Source organism: Homo sapiens, chromosome 19, assembly GCF_000001405.40.
Source record: "Homo sapiens chromosome 19, GRCh38.p14 Primary Assembly".
Taxonomy (NCBI): domain Eukaryota; kingdom Metazoa; phylum Chordata; class Mammalia; order Primates; family Hominidae; genus Homo; species Homo sapiens.
Window position 1 is genome coordinate 21,009,968 of NC_000019.10, and position 16,819 is coordinate 21,026,786.

A 16,819-nucleotide genomic window follows, 5' to 3' on the forward strand; every position below is an offset into this window, starting at 1 on the left:
CAAATGATAAAAAGCTTCATCGCTACCTTAGTTCACCAAAATGCTTCAGCACAAGTGTACTATATGAATCACTATCGATCTGTCTTACAGGAAGACATGAGTAGTGAGGATAAAGGTGAGAACTTCCACTAATGAGAGAGGTTCTCAAACGGGGGGAAAAAGGGAGGAGACCACCCCTCATATTGTCTTATGCCTAGTTTCTGCCTCCAAAGAAAGAAGAAGTGAAAACTGAAAGGCAGAAATGGAATCCACAGGCAGATAGCCCAGCATCATGCCCTGGGCCTGCTAGTTAAAAATCCACCCCTGACCTAACTGCTTGTGTTATCTATAGATTTCAGACATTGTATGGAAAAGCATCATGAAAATCCCTATCCTGTTCTGTTCTGTTCTGACTAGTGGTACATGCAGCCCCCAGTCACATACCCTCTGCTTGCTCAATCAATCATGACCTTTTCAGGCGGACCCCGTTATAGTTGTAAGCCCTTGAAAGGGACAGGAATTGCTCACTCAGGGAGCTCAGTTTTTGGAGATGTGAGTCTTCCAATGCTGCCAGCTGAATAAAGCCCTTTCCTTCTGCAACTCGGTGTCTGAGGGGTTCTTGTCTGTGTCTCATCCTGCTACAACAGAGGTGGGCAGATCACGAGGTCAGGAGTTCCAGACCAGCCTGACCAACATGGTGAAACCCCGTCTCTAGTAAAAATACAAAAATTAGCCAGGCGTGGTGGTGCAAGCCTTTAATCCCAGCTACTCAGGGGGCTGAGGCAGGAGAATCACTTGAACCCGGGAGGCAGAGGTTGTAGTGAGCCAAGATTGCGCCATTGCACTCTAGCCTGGTCGACAGAGCAAGACTCCATCTCAAAAAAATTAAAAATAGGCTGGGTTGGTGGCTCATGCCTGTAATCCCAGCACTCTGGGAGGCTGAGGTGGATGGATCACCTGAGGTCGGGAGTTCGAGACTAGCCTGACCAACGTGAAGAAACCCTATCTCTACTAAAAATACAAAATTAGCCAGGTGTGGTGGAGCATGCCTGTAATCCCAGCTACTCAGGAGGCTGAGGCAGGAGAATCGCTTGAACCCGGGAGGCAGAGGTTGTGGTGAGCCAAGATTGTGCCATTGCACTCCAGCCTGGGCAACAAGAGTGAAACTCTATCTCAAAAAATAATAATAAATAAAAATAATAAAAAATAATAATGAATAAGTAAATAAAATAAAAATAAGGGATAAATATGCAAGGAAATAGCATAAAGAAAAAACAATCAGAACCTCAGGAAATATTGGACACACTTATAAAAATGCAAAATGCTCTGGAAAGTCTCAGCAATAGAATTGAACAAGTAGAAGAAAGAAATTCAGAGATCAAAGACAAGATCTTCAAATTAACACAATCCAGCAAAGACAAAAAAAAATGAACAAAACCTTAAAGAAGCCTGAATAATTGGTTTTTCTGAAAAAGAAGAAAAATCTAAAAGTTTGGAAAACATATTTGGGGAAATAATTGAAGAAAACTTACCTGGTTTTGCCAGAGGCCTAGACATTCAAATACAAAAAGCACAAAGAATACCTGAGAAATTCATCACAAAAAGATCATCACCTAATCACATTGTCATCAGGTTATCTAACGTTAAGATGAAGGAAAGAATCATATCATATATACATATATATATATACACATCATATATATATATCATCATATACACACACACACACACACACACACACACACACAATGGAATACTACTCAGCCATAAAAAGGAATGAATTAACATTTGCAGTGACCTGGATAACATTGGAGACTATTATTCTAAGTGAAGTCACTCAGGAATGGAAAATCAAACATTGAATGTCCTCACTGAGATGTGGGAGCTAAGCTATGAGGACACAAAGGCATAAGAATGATGCAATGGACTTTGGGGATGTTGGGGAAAGAGTAGGAGGGGGATGAGGGATAGAGACTACCAATATGGTGCAGTGTATACTGCTCTACTGCTCAGGTGATGGGTGCAACAAAATCTCACAAATCACCACTAAAGAACATACTAATGTAACCAAATACCACCTGTAGCCCAGTAACTTATGGGGAAAAAAAAGAGACTTAAAAAAATATATATATATACAAAAATTAGCCAGGCATAGTGGTGCATGCCTGTAGTCCCAGCTACTTGGGAGGCTGAGGGGAGAATCACTTTAACCTGGGAGGCGGAGGTTGCATTGAGCCAAAATTGTGCCATTGCACTCCAGCCTGAGCCACAGAGTGAGACTCTGTCTCAAAAAATATATATAAAAAATAAAACTAGTAATCCAGGCAAAACAAAAATGAATTATACATTATGAAAATACTCTGCCACATTTTTATACTAAATCAGCCAGTACTGAAATTTTTTAGATGTGCCATTTGAGTAAACTGTGTGTTCCAAGTCAGATTACCTATGATAACCTCTCAGTTATCAGTGCTATGAACCTAAATTGAAGAAACAAACTTGATATTTAAGAGGACATAAATTTAATGTTAAGTGTGAACTCATAGAGAACCTAGACAGCAGTGACTTTTTTCATTCCTGAGTTCTTAAAGCTTCCTTTATCAAAAGCACTGCATTTTATCACTCGCCACAGAAGAGATAAAAAATAGTCTAAGTTGGCGGGGCACAGTGGCTCATGCCTGTAATCCCAGCACTTTCAGAGGCCGAGGTGGGCAGATCACCTGAGGTCAGGAGTTCAAGACCAGCCTGACCAACACGGAGAAACTCTGTCTCTACTAAAAATACAAAATTAGCTGGGTGTGGTGGTGCACTCCTGTAATCCCAGCTACTTGGGCGGCTGAGGCAGGAGAATCACTTGAACCTGGGAGGCAGAGGTTGCAGCGAGCTGAGATGGTGCCATTGCAGTCCAGCCTGGGCAATAAGAGTGAAACTCCATCTCAAAAAAATACATAATAATAATCTAAGTTAAATATAAATTAAATGTGTGTGTGTGTGTGTGTGTGTGTGTGTGTGTGTGTGTGTGGTGACTGTCCTAACTACCAAAATAGGTTAGGACCGTTTTTTTCCTCTCAAACATATAATCCTGAGAAGACAATCCAAACTTCATGTACACTTTGGGAGACCAAGGCGGGTGGATCACAAGGTCAGGAGATTGAGACCATCCTGGCGAACACGGTGAAACCCCGTCTCTTCTAAAAATACAAAAAAAAAAAAAAAAAATTAGCCGGGCATGGTGGCAGGCACCTGTAGTCCCAGTTACTCGGGAGGCTGAGGCAGGAGAATGGCATGAACTCGGGGGATGGAGCTTGCAGTGAGCCGAGATCGCGCCACTGCACTCCAGCCTGGGTGACAGAGCGAGACTCCATCTCAAAAAAAAAAAAAAAAAAAGCTTCATGTACATTTCTGCTACCTGAGGATCTATTTAAACATTTGTAAAGAAATCTTATTCAATTGTCATGTTTAATGCATATTTTCTTGTAGAATAAAAATTTTCTCATGGGAAAAGTCTGATGTTATAACAGTAGCTTAAAGGATAATAAAAAATATGTTTTGCTCAGGAGACATTTCTGAAAAAGGCTCCAATAATATACTTATTTCGGCCGGGAGCAGTGGCTCATGCCTGTAATACCAGCACTTTGGGAGGCCAAGAAGGGTGGATCACGAGGTCAGGAGTTCAAGACCAGCCTGGCCATGATGGTGAAACCCTGTCTTTACTAAAAATACAAAAATTAGCCAGGCGTGGTGGTGGGCGCCTGTAATCCCAGCTACTCGGTAGGCTGAGGCAGAGAATCACTTGAACCCAGGAGGCAAAGGCTGCAGTGAGCTGAGATCGTGCCACTGCACTCCAGCCTGGGTGACAGAGTACGACTCTGTCTCAGGAAAAAAAAAAAAAAAAATCCGATTTCACTGGAGAAGTTATAAACTGTTAAATAAGCTATTCCAGAAACAATAGTATTGAGAAAATCCAACTAAATTGACAGGATTGCTTTTGTAATTGCAGATTGATGACAATCAGATTCACTGAGAGTGAAAAACTGTTTTGACTATTATAAACTTGTAATTGGATGGCTTATGTACCTGATAATAGAACCTCATGTGTGTTCTGTTACTGAAGTTTAATATGACTAAATGCAGCAAGGCTTTAATGCGTTATGGCAAAGCATATTTTCACCAGGTAAACAACCTTTTATGGTCTATTGACTGAGGACAGAAAAACCCTTTATAGTCTAGAACCCAGAGATTGAGTCTGCTTGCCATCTACACTGAAGCAAGACTTCAGGACCTTGAACCTTAGGTTGATAATCTCACAACTGAGAAGGGGCCCTCCAAATTCTTGCAATTGTATGCCCATTGGAGTTTTTTTTTTTTTTTTTTTTTTTTTGGAGACGGAGTCTTGCTCTGTTGCCTAGGCTGGAGGGCAGTGGTGCCATCTCAGCTCACTGCAAGCTCCGCCTCCTGGGTTCATGCCATTCTCCTGCCTCAGCCTCCCTAGTAGCTGGGACTACAGGTGCCCACCACCACGCCCAGCTAATTGTTTTGTATTTTTAGTAGAGACGGGGTTTCACCGTGTTAGCCAGGATGGTCTCAATCTCCTGACCTGGTGATCCTCCCACCTAGGCCTCCCAAAGTGCTGGGATTACAGGCATGAGCCACCACAACCAGCCGCAGATATTAAGGTAAAGTTAAACAGGGAAGTTTCTCCTAAAAAGCAAAGGCAGCTTTGATGTAGATCGCTTTCTTCACAAGATGAAAAATCAAGACATCTCTACTATCATGACACTCTTAGATTACGGTTTTTTTCTTATGGCTCTGCAAACAACAGAAATTAAAAAGGGCCTCTTGTGTGCACTCATGGGGTACACTTTTATATGTAGAAGATTTTGCAGCCAACATTATATATGAACAAACTTATGCCTTCATAAGTAAAAGATGAAGGTCCAATGAGGATGAGAAATTTTAATGGGACATCTGTTGCCTCATAATATCAGAAACAGAATATTGGTTCACTGCAGTTAACCTAATTCATAAGTTAAAGAGAACTTATTCAGAATAGATTATAGAGTATTGCCAGGAGGCCATTACTCTTCAATGGCTATCATTTGTTAGGTATTTTTGTTCCCCATGGTTTAGAGTAAATGAGGCAATGGTTAGAAATTTATTCCCCCTACTAGGGCTCTATAGCATATTCTATTGTAAAGGCTATGGTTACACAATAGACTTTAATTTTTCTTTTTAAAGTTGTGCAAAATAATAGAATTTCTCTAGATTACTTACTGGATGAACAGAGAAGTATCTGTGCAGTTGCTAAAACTTGTAGTTGTACATAGAAAAATATATCGGGTATTACAGAGATTCAGTTGTAGGAGATTAATAAATAGGCTGCTTGGTTGAAATGAGGAGACCATTTATTTACCTAATTATTTGATCTATTTAATGTTAGTTGGTGGGCTCATGAGACCCTGGCTAAAAAGCATACTTGAGGCCAGGCATGGTGGATCACACCTGTAATCCTAGCACTTTGGGAGGCCGAGGCGGGCAGATCACGAGGTCAAGAGTTCGAGACCATCCTGGCCAACATGGTGAAACCCCGTTTCTACTAAAAATACAAAAATTAGCTGGACATGGTGGTTCATGCCTATAGTCTCAGCTACTCGGGAGGCCGAGGCAGGAGAATCACTTGAACCTGGGAGGCGAGGCAGAGGTTACAGTGAGCCGAGCTCACGCCACTGCACTCTAGCCTGGCGAAAGAGCAAGACTCCATCTCAAAAAAAAAAAAAAAGCATACTTGAAACTCTTGTTATTATCTTTCTTATAGTCGAAATAGTAGTCTCCCTACTGCATTGTATTCTCTCAAAAGTTATAAATGTTTGTATGCAGTTATCTCTAGAATGTCAAATGATCTCTCTTTAACAGCAATCACAAAAACTCAAATGCATATGTGACCATGAGGACACCATAACCTATGAATGACCTGATAAGGACAAAAACTAAAGGTAATGGAAACTGAGAGTGGCATTAAGACAAAGTTTTGGTCACACTCTTACCTATGTGAGAACTTAACCAAAAGGGGGGAATTTTATAAACAACATTATTGAAGGCCATCATTCTGGATTGAGCTTGTGCATTACGCCCAAAGAGACCAAACCAAATCAAATGGAGTCACTCATGCTAAATGTGACATAATCAAACTGAAAATGTAAGGAAATAGGTAGATCCTAAAACAGGCCAGGTTTGGTTATTCTTTTGAAAACAGCAGATTTCAACACAAGGAGGTCACCTGTACTGTAACCCTTAAAAAAAAATAATAACCTGAAGTCCTTGTTTCCACTTTACAAAAGCTACAGTTCTGCTATTTCACAATGGGATTTGAGAATAAATAAGTAGATTTTTGATGGTGACAGAATAATATCAATGTCTAAAGCTTTGTTCTAGCTCTCAAAATTGAGAAGATGATCAAAAGGGAGAAATTGTTAAATTAATTATGCCTAAAGCTGCTCCCTTTTCTGTTTAACTTTGGTCACTAGGTTTTTTTTTAAACATTGTAAACTGAAACCTAACTGGATATATAAATAGACTGTAATCCATTATTGTACCAACCACTGTGTTTTTGCCAATAAAAGGACATCAAGTGTTCAAATTATGTTTCAATAAGGCAAATCCCAACCTGTAATCAATCTGGCTGTTTCTGTACCTCACTTCTATTTTCTGTATGTCACTTTGCTTTTTCCATCCACAAACCTGTTTTCATAATGTGGCTTTGCCAGAGTCTCTCTGAGCCTACTCTGGATCCACAGGCTGCCCAATTTGCAAATCATTCTATGCTCTATTAAACTCTGTTGAATTTAATTTCTCTAAAATTTTAAAGTTTTTCTCTTTTAAAAGTTTTCAAATATTTTCTTCTCTCTCTCTCTCTTTTTTTTTTCTTGAGATGGAGTTTCACTCTTGTTGGCCAGGCTGGAGTGCAGTGGTGCGATCTTGGCTCACTGAAACCTCAGCCTCCCAGGTTCAAGCGATTCTCCTGCTTCAGCCTCCCACGTAGCTGGGATTACAGACATGTGCCATCACGCCCGGCTAATTTTGTATTTTTAGTGGAGACAGGGTTTCCTCATGGTGGTCAGGCTGATCTCGAACTCCTGACCTCAGGTGATCCACCCACCTCAGCCTCCCAAAGTGCTGGGATTAGGCATGAGCCACCGCACACAGCCTAGTTTTCAAAAAAAATTTTTTTTTGAGACAGAGTTTCGCGCTGTCACCCAGGCTGGAGTGCAGTGGCATGATCTCAGCTCACTGCAAGCTCTGCCTTCCAGGTTCACGCCATTCTCCTGCCTCAGCCTCCCGAGTAGCTGGGACTACAGGCGCCCGCCACCATGCCCAGCTAATTTTTTGTATTTTTAGTAGAGACGGGGTTTCACCGTGTTAGCCAGATGGTCTCGATCTCCTGACCTCGTGATCCGCCTGCCTCAGCCTCCCAGTGTTGGGATTACAGGCGTGAGCCACAGTGCCAGCTCAAATATTTTCAATGATAAAAATAAATAATGTGCTGTTGGGCTTTGATTTTCTAAACTCATCCCTCAGCTATTTCCTCAAATTATTCTGTCTTCGAAATGCTTCTCCAATATTTTTTTTTTTTTGAGACAGAGTCTCATTTTACCACCCAGTGTGGATGGCAGTGGTGCAGCCAATCATGGCTTACTGCAGCCTTGACCTTCCAGACTCAAGCAATCCTCCTGCCTCTGCCACCTAAGTATTGGGACTATAGGCATGTACCACCATGGTTGGCTAATTTTTTCATTTTTTTAATGGAAACAAAATCTTATTATGTTGCTCAGGCTGCACTGGAACGCCTGAGCTCACATAATTCTCCCATCTTAGCCTCCCAAAGTGCTAGGATTACAGGTCTGAGCCACCGTGTTTGCAAAATGGTAGCAATTTTTCATCCCCCTTGTATCCATGCCCAATGCCAGATGCTTTTACAGTTGTTTCCATCAAGATTCAGAATCTGTTTTCCAAACCCTAGATCAGGCTGGCCTTATTTGCTCAGGGCAGTAGAAACCTGTGAACATGGCAATGAGCTAGTTTGGGACCTAGGCTCAAATGGTCTTGAGTGCTTCTGTTTTTCTTTTAGAATGTTGACATCACCTTGGAAAAAAGCCCATGTTAGCCAGCTGGAAAATAAGGTATCATGGGGAGGAGAAGCAAGGTGTCCCTATTGACAACCCCAGAAGCAGAACATCACCCCCAGAAGCACAGCTGCCTAGTCAACAAGCAGCTGACGACATATGACTGAAGGAGCTCAGCTGAAACCAGAAGAATGGCCCCACTGAGCCCAACCTAAATGGCTGACCATCTCGATTATGAACTAATAAGTTTTGGATGATTTGTTATGCTGCAATAGCTAACTAATACATGCACCCAGTGCAGATAGGATGCCAGGATTCAATGACAGGTTGATTACTAGTTATGTTCTAACAGTGGGCACCCTATAGGTACTGATTTTTTCCCCTGATTTAAAGTTGGGTGACTTGTAAGAGAATGTTGAGTAATGCAGAAATACAGGTAGACATGTATGCATGTGATTGGTGCTTATACCCACACAGTCCCACACACCACAGGAGAAAACAGGTAACTACAGCCTGACTAGTAGGGCCAAGGCCAATAGCAAAATAAGTTTTGCCTTTAATCTGTTTTCTCCATATCTAAACATTTGAGGTCAAGAGTGTGGACAGATCTGAAGACACAGAGTTTTATTATCCTGTGGCCCCAACATTCTTTCTTCACTGTCTGATCTCTGGAAGAAAAGTGGGCAACAGGTGGCCAGCAGTGGTCTACCTGTGGTTATTTTACTCCTGCTGCCATCTGCTCTTTTTATGGCCACTATCTGTTCCACCCTTAGAACTGAAGAAAGATATTGGTAGGGAGAGACTCTGCCTTCACTTCTGGCAGAAAAGGGATGTTCAGTTCATTCACCCCCCTGACATCAGAGCTGAACTTCAATGTGGCAGCTATTGGCCACGTGTGCCTCCTGAGTGACTGGAATGTGGCTGGTCTGAACTGCGATGTGCTAGAAAGGTAAAATACAGAGTTAGTTTCAAAGATTTAGTTTCAAATGTTTATATACATTATTAATAATTACACATTCCTCACACATTAAAATGATAATATTATGGACATATTGGGTTAAATTGTTACAATCAATTCAACCTGTTCCTTGTTTCTTTTTCAAGTTTGTCTACTAGAAAATTTAAGATTCACATGTGGCTCACATTTTATTTCAGAAGATTACCATCTTTTTAAAATCTGAGGCTGCCTCCTTTAGCCGGGAAGGTCATAAAATCTGAAATTTTAAAATAATTATTGTTACATTCTTTTCATTTTTGAATAGCCACTATATATATATAAATATAAATATATATAAAAATATATAAAAATAAAAATATAAATATATATAAAAACATAAATATATATAAATATAAATATGTATAATATATAAATATATAAAAATATATAAAAATATAAATATAAAAAATATATATAAATATAAATATATAAATATAAATATAAATATATATAAATATATACATATAAATATATAAATATAAATATATAAATATATAAATATAAATATATATAAATATATAAATATATATATATAAATATATAAATATATAAATATATATATATAAATATATAAATATTTATATATAAATATATATAAATATATAAATATATATAAATATATAAATATATATAAATATATATAAATATATAAATATATATAAGTATATAAATATAAATATATATAAATATATAAATATATATATAAATATATATAAATATATAAATATATATAATTATATAAATATAAATATATATAAATATATATAAATGTATATAAATACATAAATAAATATATAAATATATATAAATATATATATAAATAAATATATACAAATATATATAAATAAATATATATAAATATATATAAATAAATATATATAAATATATATAAATAAATATATAAATATATAAATATATAAATAAATACATATATAAATATATAAAATATATATAAATAAATATATAAAAATATATATAAATAAATATATATAAATAAATATATATATATATATATATATATATATTTTAGACAGAGTTGTGCTCTTGTTGCCCAGGCTGGAGTGCAATGGCACAATCTCGGCTCACCGCAACCTCCGCCTCCCAGGTTCAAGCGGTTCTCCTGCCTCAGCCTCCCGAGTACCTGGGATAACACACATGGGCCACCACAACCCGCTAATTTTATATTTTTTATAAAGACTGGGTTTCTCCATGTTGGTCAGGCTGGTCTCTAACTCCCGACCTCAGGTCATCTGCCCGCTTCAGCCTTCCAAAATGTTGGGATTACGGGCGTGAGCCACCGTGACCGGCCCCATATATTATTTATAAATGCATATGACCTTACACACAAGGTTAAATGCAAATAACCTCTGGGGTGGGCCTGGCTCAGCTCAGGGAGGAAGCCCTGTCAGAGAAGGATGCAGCCCAAGCTGTCACTCTTCTTTCAGCCCCGCATCTCATCACATCTTCCGTCAATCATGGCCTGAGGGGGCGGGGATTTAAATGTTATCCAATCAGAGACGCTAGGCAGGGAACCGTCCAATCAGGCACGCAGGTGAAGCGGACAGGGCGGCTTCCGGGTTTGGCGGGGCCTTTGTCCCTCGCTGTGGCCTGAGCTCCAGGTCTCGTCTTCAGCGCTCTGTGTCCTCTGCTCCTAGAGGTCCAGGCTCTGTGGCCCTGTGACCCGCAGGTATTGGGAGATCTACAGCTAAGACGCCAGGAACCCCTGGAAGCCTAGAAATGGTGAGAGTGCCGGGTCCGACATCCCCAGAGAGGGGAGGGGCTGGTTGTAATGGGTGGGAAGTGGCTGTGGCGGGACTCAGGCCTCCCGGCAGTCAGCTGCACAATCTGCGCCCCGAGTTCTTGCCCAGCTGGGCCTCAGTCCCCATCAGCCTTAAGATGGCGGCTGCGCTGACAGGCGGGCCCCAGCACGTCCCGTCTCTTCCTTGCGCAGTGACTGTGCCCTGGCCTGGAGCCCTCTCTGGGCAGCTCTGCATCCGCAGCGCCGCGTCTCTCCCAGACTGTGCAGGGACCACGGGAGGATCGTCACGGGAGAATCGTCACGGGAGAATCCTGACTTGGGGTGCGAGTTCATGAATGGGAAGAACTTTGGTCCTGGGTTCCTAGTTCCTCTTTTCTCCTATTAAAAATGTACAGACCGGGAGGGGTGGCTCACGTCTGTAATCCCAGTACTTTGGGAGGCCGAGGCGGGCGCATCACTAAGTCAGGAGAGTTCAAGACCAGCCTGGCCAGCATAGTGAAACCCCGTCTTTACTAAAAATACAAAAATTTGCCGGGCATGGTGGTACACGCCTGTAGTCCCAGCTACTTGGGAGACTGAGGCAGGAGAATCACTTGAACCTGGGAGGTGGAGATTGCAGTGAGCCGAGATAGCGCCACTGCACTACAGCCTGTGTAACAGAGCAAGACTCCGTCTCGGAAAAAAAAAATGTACAGAAGTCACCACAAAAATATTAAAGAAATTAATCAAAGAGTGATTAAAAAACTGTTGAGCACCCAGCTGTGGTTTGTAATTTGTTGTTCATGGCGGGGCTTGAAGGAAAGACTTTTATAAGGTGCATGATGAAGAAAGCCAAATTCAGTAATTGGTTAGGTACCGTTATGTAGTTTCTTAGTTTGTACAATAAAGGTGAAAATTTTCTGGTTGTGTAATCAGACCTTAATTGGCAGTATACAGTTGATTAAGCCTGAATTTTGTGTCTTTCAATGTAGTAATTTTCAAAACGATGCGCCTGAGTTAGATTTTTTTTTTTTTTTTTTTTTTTTTTTTTTGAGATGGAGTCTCGCTCTTGTCGCCCAGGCTGGAGTGCAGTGGCACAATCTCGGCTCACTACAACTTCTGCCGCTGCCTGTGTTCAAGCTTCTCCTGCCTCAGCCTTTTGAGTAGCTGGAATTACAAGCGCCTGCCACCCTGCCCAGCTAATTTTTGTACTTTTAGTAGAGACGGGGTTTCACCATGTTGGCCTGGCTGGCCTCGAACTCTTGACCTCAGGTGATCCGCCTGCCTTGGCCTCCCAAAATGCTGGGATTACAGGCGTGAGCTATCACGCCCAGCCACGTTAGATCTTTTTAAAAGTAGGAACCCAGGGTCTAGAGACACCTCAGTCTAATTGCCTGCCACTCAATTATTTTCACACTCCACGGGGAACTGATTTTCTGCTGCATTTTTCACCTGTGTCCCAAGCAGGGTCTTAAGTCTAACCCCCGTCCCCCATTTCTCCAGCCTCACTCTGGCTTGCAGTAAGATACTAAATTTCCAGTTCTTTCTGGCGTTCCCAAATGCCAACTTTTCCTACCTAATTCACATTATCACCTATTTGTCCTTTAGTGTACATTTTTTACACCGTATTTTAATTAGTTATTTTCTGACAAAGTATTAAATGGTGCTTTTAATAAGATTTGTTATCTGTTTGTAAATATTTCCCATGTGAAGAAAGCAAAGAATAATCCCCTGACACTGTGTTGTAAAAACTCTCTGTGCTTCTTCTCCTTGTATCTTCTCTGGGCACAGAGATCTTGTCTCAGGATGTTTTTGGGTCAGGGTTTTCCTTTGGAAACTTTATGGGGTGTTGTGTCCTCAGTCACCCTTCAGTTTTTTTCTGGTCCTGGGTTTCAGTATTGTCTGGGGATAAACCAAGATATCCGCCATGGTTATGTCAGTTAGAGTGTCTAGTGGATATCAGCTTCTGGGTTATTTTCTCCCATAGGAGAACCTGAAGTCTGGAGTGTATCCTCTCAAGGAAGCAAGTGGATGCCCTGGGGCTGACAGGAATCTTCTGGTGTACTCTTTTTATGAAAAGGTAACCCCTTGAGATGTTAAAATTGTCTTCACCCAACCCAGCTTTCATTTCTTGGAGACACATTGCTGGTCAACCAATCAGACTGTGGCATTGAGGGGAAAACAAATAATTTTTGCCTCTGGATTGTCTAAGGGGGCAGAAAAATAGTGAAATAACTATAGTGAAAGTAAAATAGTGGAAAAAAGTGGAACATTTGTGACAGAAAAAATAGTATCCCAAAAGACAAAAAGAAAAAGAAAAACACTGACCCCAGTGAGATGGCGTAAGAACTTGCAAAGTTAAATGCCCGTGGGACAGTCACTGGGGCATAGTGTGGTATCTCCTGAGTGGGTGGTTCTTGAGCACATAAGTGAGCAGGAGTGGGTGGAAGACTGTTTGAAGTGATTGAATGGCCTGACTTGAAACATGAGTCAGACACATCTGTTTTTTCATCAGCACTGCCACTCCCTGGGTTTGTCACCTTGAAAAGATTTGTTCATTTATTTTAACCTCAGTTTTTTAGCTGTAAATTCTATTAGTAGGGCTTGAAAGGTAGGAAAATATTTACCAAAGGCATAAAAGTGGTGGGTTTAAGAAAAAAAATAGTATCTAATAATATATTCCATTCATTAAAAATTCTCTATTCCCTTTTTACCCCCAGGGTGAGTTTAGGAATTTTCTCAGGTGTGTTTTTTATGGCTGGGTGATTTCAAACAGAATTCTAAGGCTCAGCTTTTAGAATGCTACCAAGGAAATGAGTAGGGAAAATCTCTGTTCCATTTTTTTGTAGAAAATAAATACATTTCTACAAGAAAATGTGGTAGATAATTGGTGAGTTACATACATTCATGAAAACATGAGTTTCTCTCTCTGCAGGGTAAATTTGTGACAGTAAACATCTCTGTTCAAATCCTGTTATCTTGATTTCTGAGTTTCATGCTAAATTTTATGAGATGAAACTTGGTACCACCTAGAAGTTTTCCCATATGACTAACTGTTTACTAAATGATTCTTAATGGAATTCATAAAATAATGCATACATTATGTGAAAGAAATAGATATTTTGCTTTTTTTATTGAGGTATAAATTGCAAACACCTTAAAATTTCCTTCCCTTGTATGAACACTGTGACTAATTTTGCTAGATTTTTCAAACACATAGTTTCAAAAACCAAGTGAGTAACTCTAACATAGAAATTAAAGCTTGAGCCCAGTGACTCAGAGCTAAGGCTAATATTGAGCCTGCAAAAGGAGTTTATTACAGGCCCAGTTAGTTTTTTTTCTGGGGAGCCTCCCCTGCAGATGTCCTAGCCTGCTCACTCTAGCTGTGGAAGAAGCTTTTCTGCTGAGAGAAGCTACAGAGTCCTGGAAAGGTGGGGACCCACAGGCAGATGCAGTTAAGGTTAAGATGGTAGGAGATTGAGAGGGTCTTACTGATGATAAAGTTGTTAATGTTTGAAGGCAGTTTCTAGACTTTGTAATACCTAACAAAGTTAGATTTATGTTAAAAATTTGAATTCCAAAGGACTATTGCAACAGGAGGAAATACCAACTGTAAGAACCTTAAGGATTGCAAAGTTTAGGCAGAAAAGGGCTTTCTTTCATGGGGAGGAGCAAACAAAATTAGAAGTTGGAGACGGCCGGATGCTGTGGCTCACACCTGTAATCTCAGCACTTTGGGAGGCCGAGGCAGGCGGATCATGAGGTCAGGAGATGGAGACCATCCTGGCTAACATGGTGAAACCCCGTCTCTACTAAAAATACAAAAAAATCAGCCGGGCGTGGTCACGGGCGCCTGTAGTCCCAGCTACTCGGGAGGCTGAGGCAGGAGAATGGCGTAAACCCAGGAGGTGGAGCTGGCAGTGAGCCTAGATCGCGCCACTGCACTCCAGCCTGGGTGACAGGGCCAGATTCCATCTTAAAAAAAAAAAAAAGAAGTTGGAGGTGACTGACAAATGAAGGGTGAAATAATCAGATTTTAGATCAGAGAATGTTTTACCCTGAAGTCAGCATGTTCTTAGGAGGGACATAAAATGGAGTTGTATATTGGCTCAGATTGAGGGTAGCTCCAAGTTCAGGAGCCTGTGAAAAATTTTATTTAGACCACTGAAGACAAATTCAGCTGATTTTTTTAAATGAGAAAAAGAAAATGTGCAGAGTTCTTATCGGAAAGGGGTCACAATCCACACCCCAAGAGAGGGTTCTTGGATTTCGCTCAAGAAAGAATTCAGGGTGAGTCTACAGAGTAAAGTAAAAGCAAGTTTATTAGGAAACAGAAGGAATAAAAGAATGGCTTACTCTATAGGCAGAGCAGCCCTGAGGGCTGCTGGTTGCCCATTTTTATGGTTATTTCTTGATTATATGCTAAACAAGGGGTGGATTATTTTTGCCTCCCAATTAGACAATATAAAGTCATTTTCTGATGTTTCCATGATGTCTCCATGGCATTTTGTAAACTGTCATGGCACTGGTGGGAGTGTAGCAGTGAGGACCACCAAAGGTCACTCTCATCCCATCTTGGTTTTGGTGAGTTTTATCCACCTTCTTTACTGCAACCTGTTTTATCACCCAGATCTTTATAACCTGTATCTTGTGCTGAACTCTTGTCTCATCCTGTGACTTAGAATGCCTAACCATCTGGGAGTGCAGCCCCATAGGTCTCAGCCTCATTTTACCCAGCCCCTATTCGAAATGGATTTGCCCTGATTCAATACACCTCTGACATTTCTCCTTTTTTTTTTATCTGAGACGGAGTCTCACTCTGTTGCCCAGGCTGGAGTGCAACGGCATCATCTCGGCTCACTGCAACCTCCACCTACCAGGTTCAAGTATTTCTCCTGCCTCAGCCTCCCCAGTAGCTGGGATTACAGGCGCCTACCACCATGCCTGGCTAATTTTTGTACTTTTTTTTTTTTTTTTTTCAGTCCAATCAGTTTACTCTGCTTTCTCCATCTCCTCCTCCCATTAGTCAGCCATTGGAACTGGGAAACCTCCTACTTTCCCCCTCTTTGTACTCTTTCCACAATTCATCTTGTCTTTCTGCAGCCATATCTTCTTAATACAGACTGAAGTTTCTGTCATTGAGAACAGAGTGATCCATAAACCTGGTCATCACACTTTTTATGAGATAGTAATGTGGGCCCCAGATCCATGGCATGGTTTCCTCTGGATGCACTCCTGGATCTAATTTTTGTATTTTTAGTAGAGACGGGGTTTCACCATGTTGACCAGGATGGTCTCCGTCTCTTGACCTCATGATCCACCTGCCTCGGCCTCCCAAAGTGCTGGGATTACAGGCATGAGCCATCATGCCTGGCCGTAATCTCTGACTTTTTTTTTTTTTTCTTGAGACGGAGTCTCACTGTGTTGCCCCGGCTGGAGTTCAGTGGCACGATCTCAGCTCACTGCAACCTCCGCCTCCCAGGTTCAAGTTATTCTCCTGTCTCAGCCTTCTGAGTAGCTGGGATTATAGGCGCACGCCACCACGCCTGGCCAGTTTTTGTATTTTTAGTAGAGATGGAGTTTCACCATGTTGATCAGGCTGGTCTCAAACTCCTGACCTTGTGATCTGCCTGCCCCAGCCTCCCAAAGTGCTGGGGTTACAGGCGTGAGCCACCGTGCCCGGCCAATCTCTGACTTCTTTAAGCAGTGTTTTGTGATTCTTGTCATAGGGATCTTTCACCATTCTGATTAGCTGTATTCCTAGATATTCTATTCTTTTTGTGGCAATTGTGAATGGGATTATGTTTTTGATTTGGCTTTTGGCTTGGATGTTTTGATGTACAGAGATTCTACTGATTTTTGTACGTGTATTTTGTATCCTGAAACTTTGCTAAAGTTGTTTATTAGTTTAAAGAGCTTTCCTGCTGAGACTATAGGGTTTTGAAGATATAGAATCATGTCATCTGCACACAGGGATAGTTAGAC

General features: G+C 40.9%; 1 protein-coding gene across 4 annotated transcripts in view, besides 3 other annotated features; it reads left to right on the forward strand.

The window, feature by feature from the left end:
• Positions 10,380-10,973: an enhancer, noted in NCBI's record as "H3K27ac hESC enhancer chr19:21203153-21203746 (GRCh37/hg19 assembly coordinates)". NCBI's record gives its function as "activates a minimal SCP1, AML or CMV promoter by ChIP-STARR-seq in primed H9 embryonic stem cells {active_cell/tissue: H9 hESC(primed)}" and the evidence as "EXISTENCE:reporter gene assay evidence [ECO:0000049][PMID:30033119]".
• The window catches only part of ZNF430 (zinc finger protein 430), a 39,394-nt gene continuing 33,264 nt past the window's right edge, over positions 10,690-16,819 (forward strand). For 2 of the 4 annotated variants that reach the window (NM_025189.4, NM_001172671.2), the window contains exons 1-2: positions 10,690-10,836; positions 12,822-12,914. In NM_025189.4, coding sequence (NP_079465.3) covers positions 10,834-10,836; positions 12,822-12,914 — 96 coding nt within the window. In that variant the 5' untranslated portion in view covers positions 10,690-10,833. The remainder of the gene's footprint in view (positions 10,837-12,821; positions 12,915-16,819) is intronic. The other 2 variants (XM_047439464.1, XM_047439465.1) reach the window with 1 other exon arrangement.
• Positions 10,974-11,565: an enhancer, noted in NCBI's record as "H3K27ac hESC enhancer chr19:21203747-21204338 (GRCh37/hg19 assembly coordinates)". NCBI's record gives its function as "activates a minimal SCP1, AML or CMV promoter by ChIP-STARR-seq in primed H9 embryonic stem cells {active_cell/tissue: H9 hESC(primed)}" and the evidence as "EXISTENCE:reporter gene assay evidence [ECO:0000049][PMID:30033119]".
• Positions 14,211-14,711: an enhancer, noted in NCBI's record as "H3K4me1 hESC enhancer chr19:21206984-21207484 (GRCh37/hg19 assembly coordinates)". NCBI's record gives its function as "activates a minimal SCP1, AML or CMV promoter by ChIP-STARR-seq in primed H9 embryonic stem cells {active_cell/tissue: H9 hESC(primed)}" and the evidence as "EXISTENCE:reporter gene assay evidence [ECO:0000049][PMID:30033119]".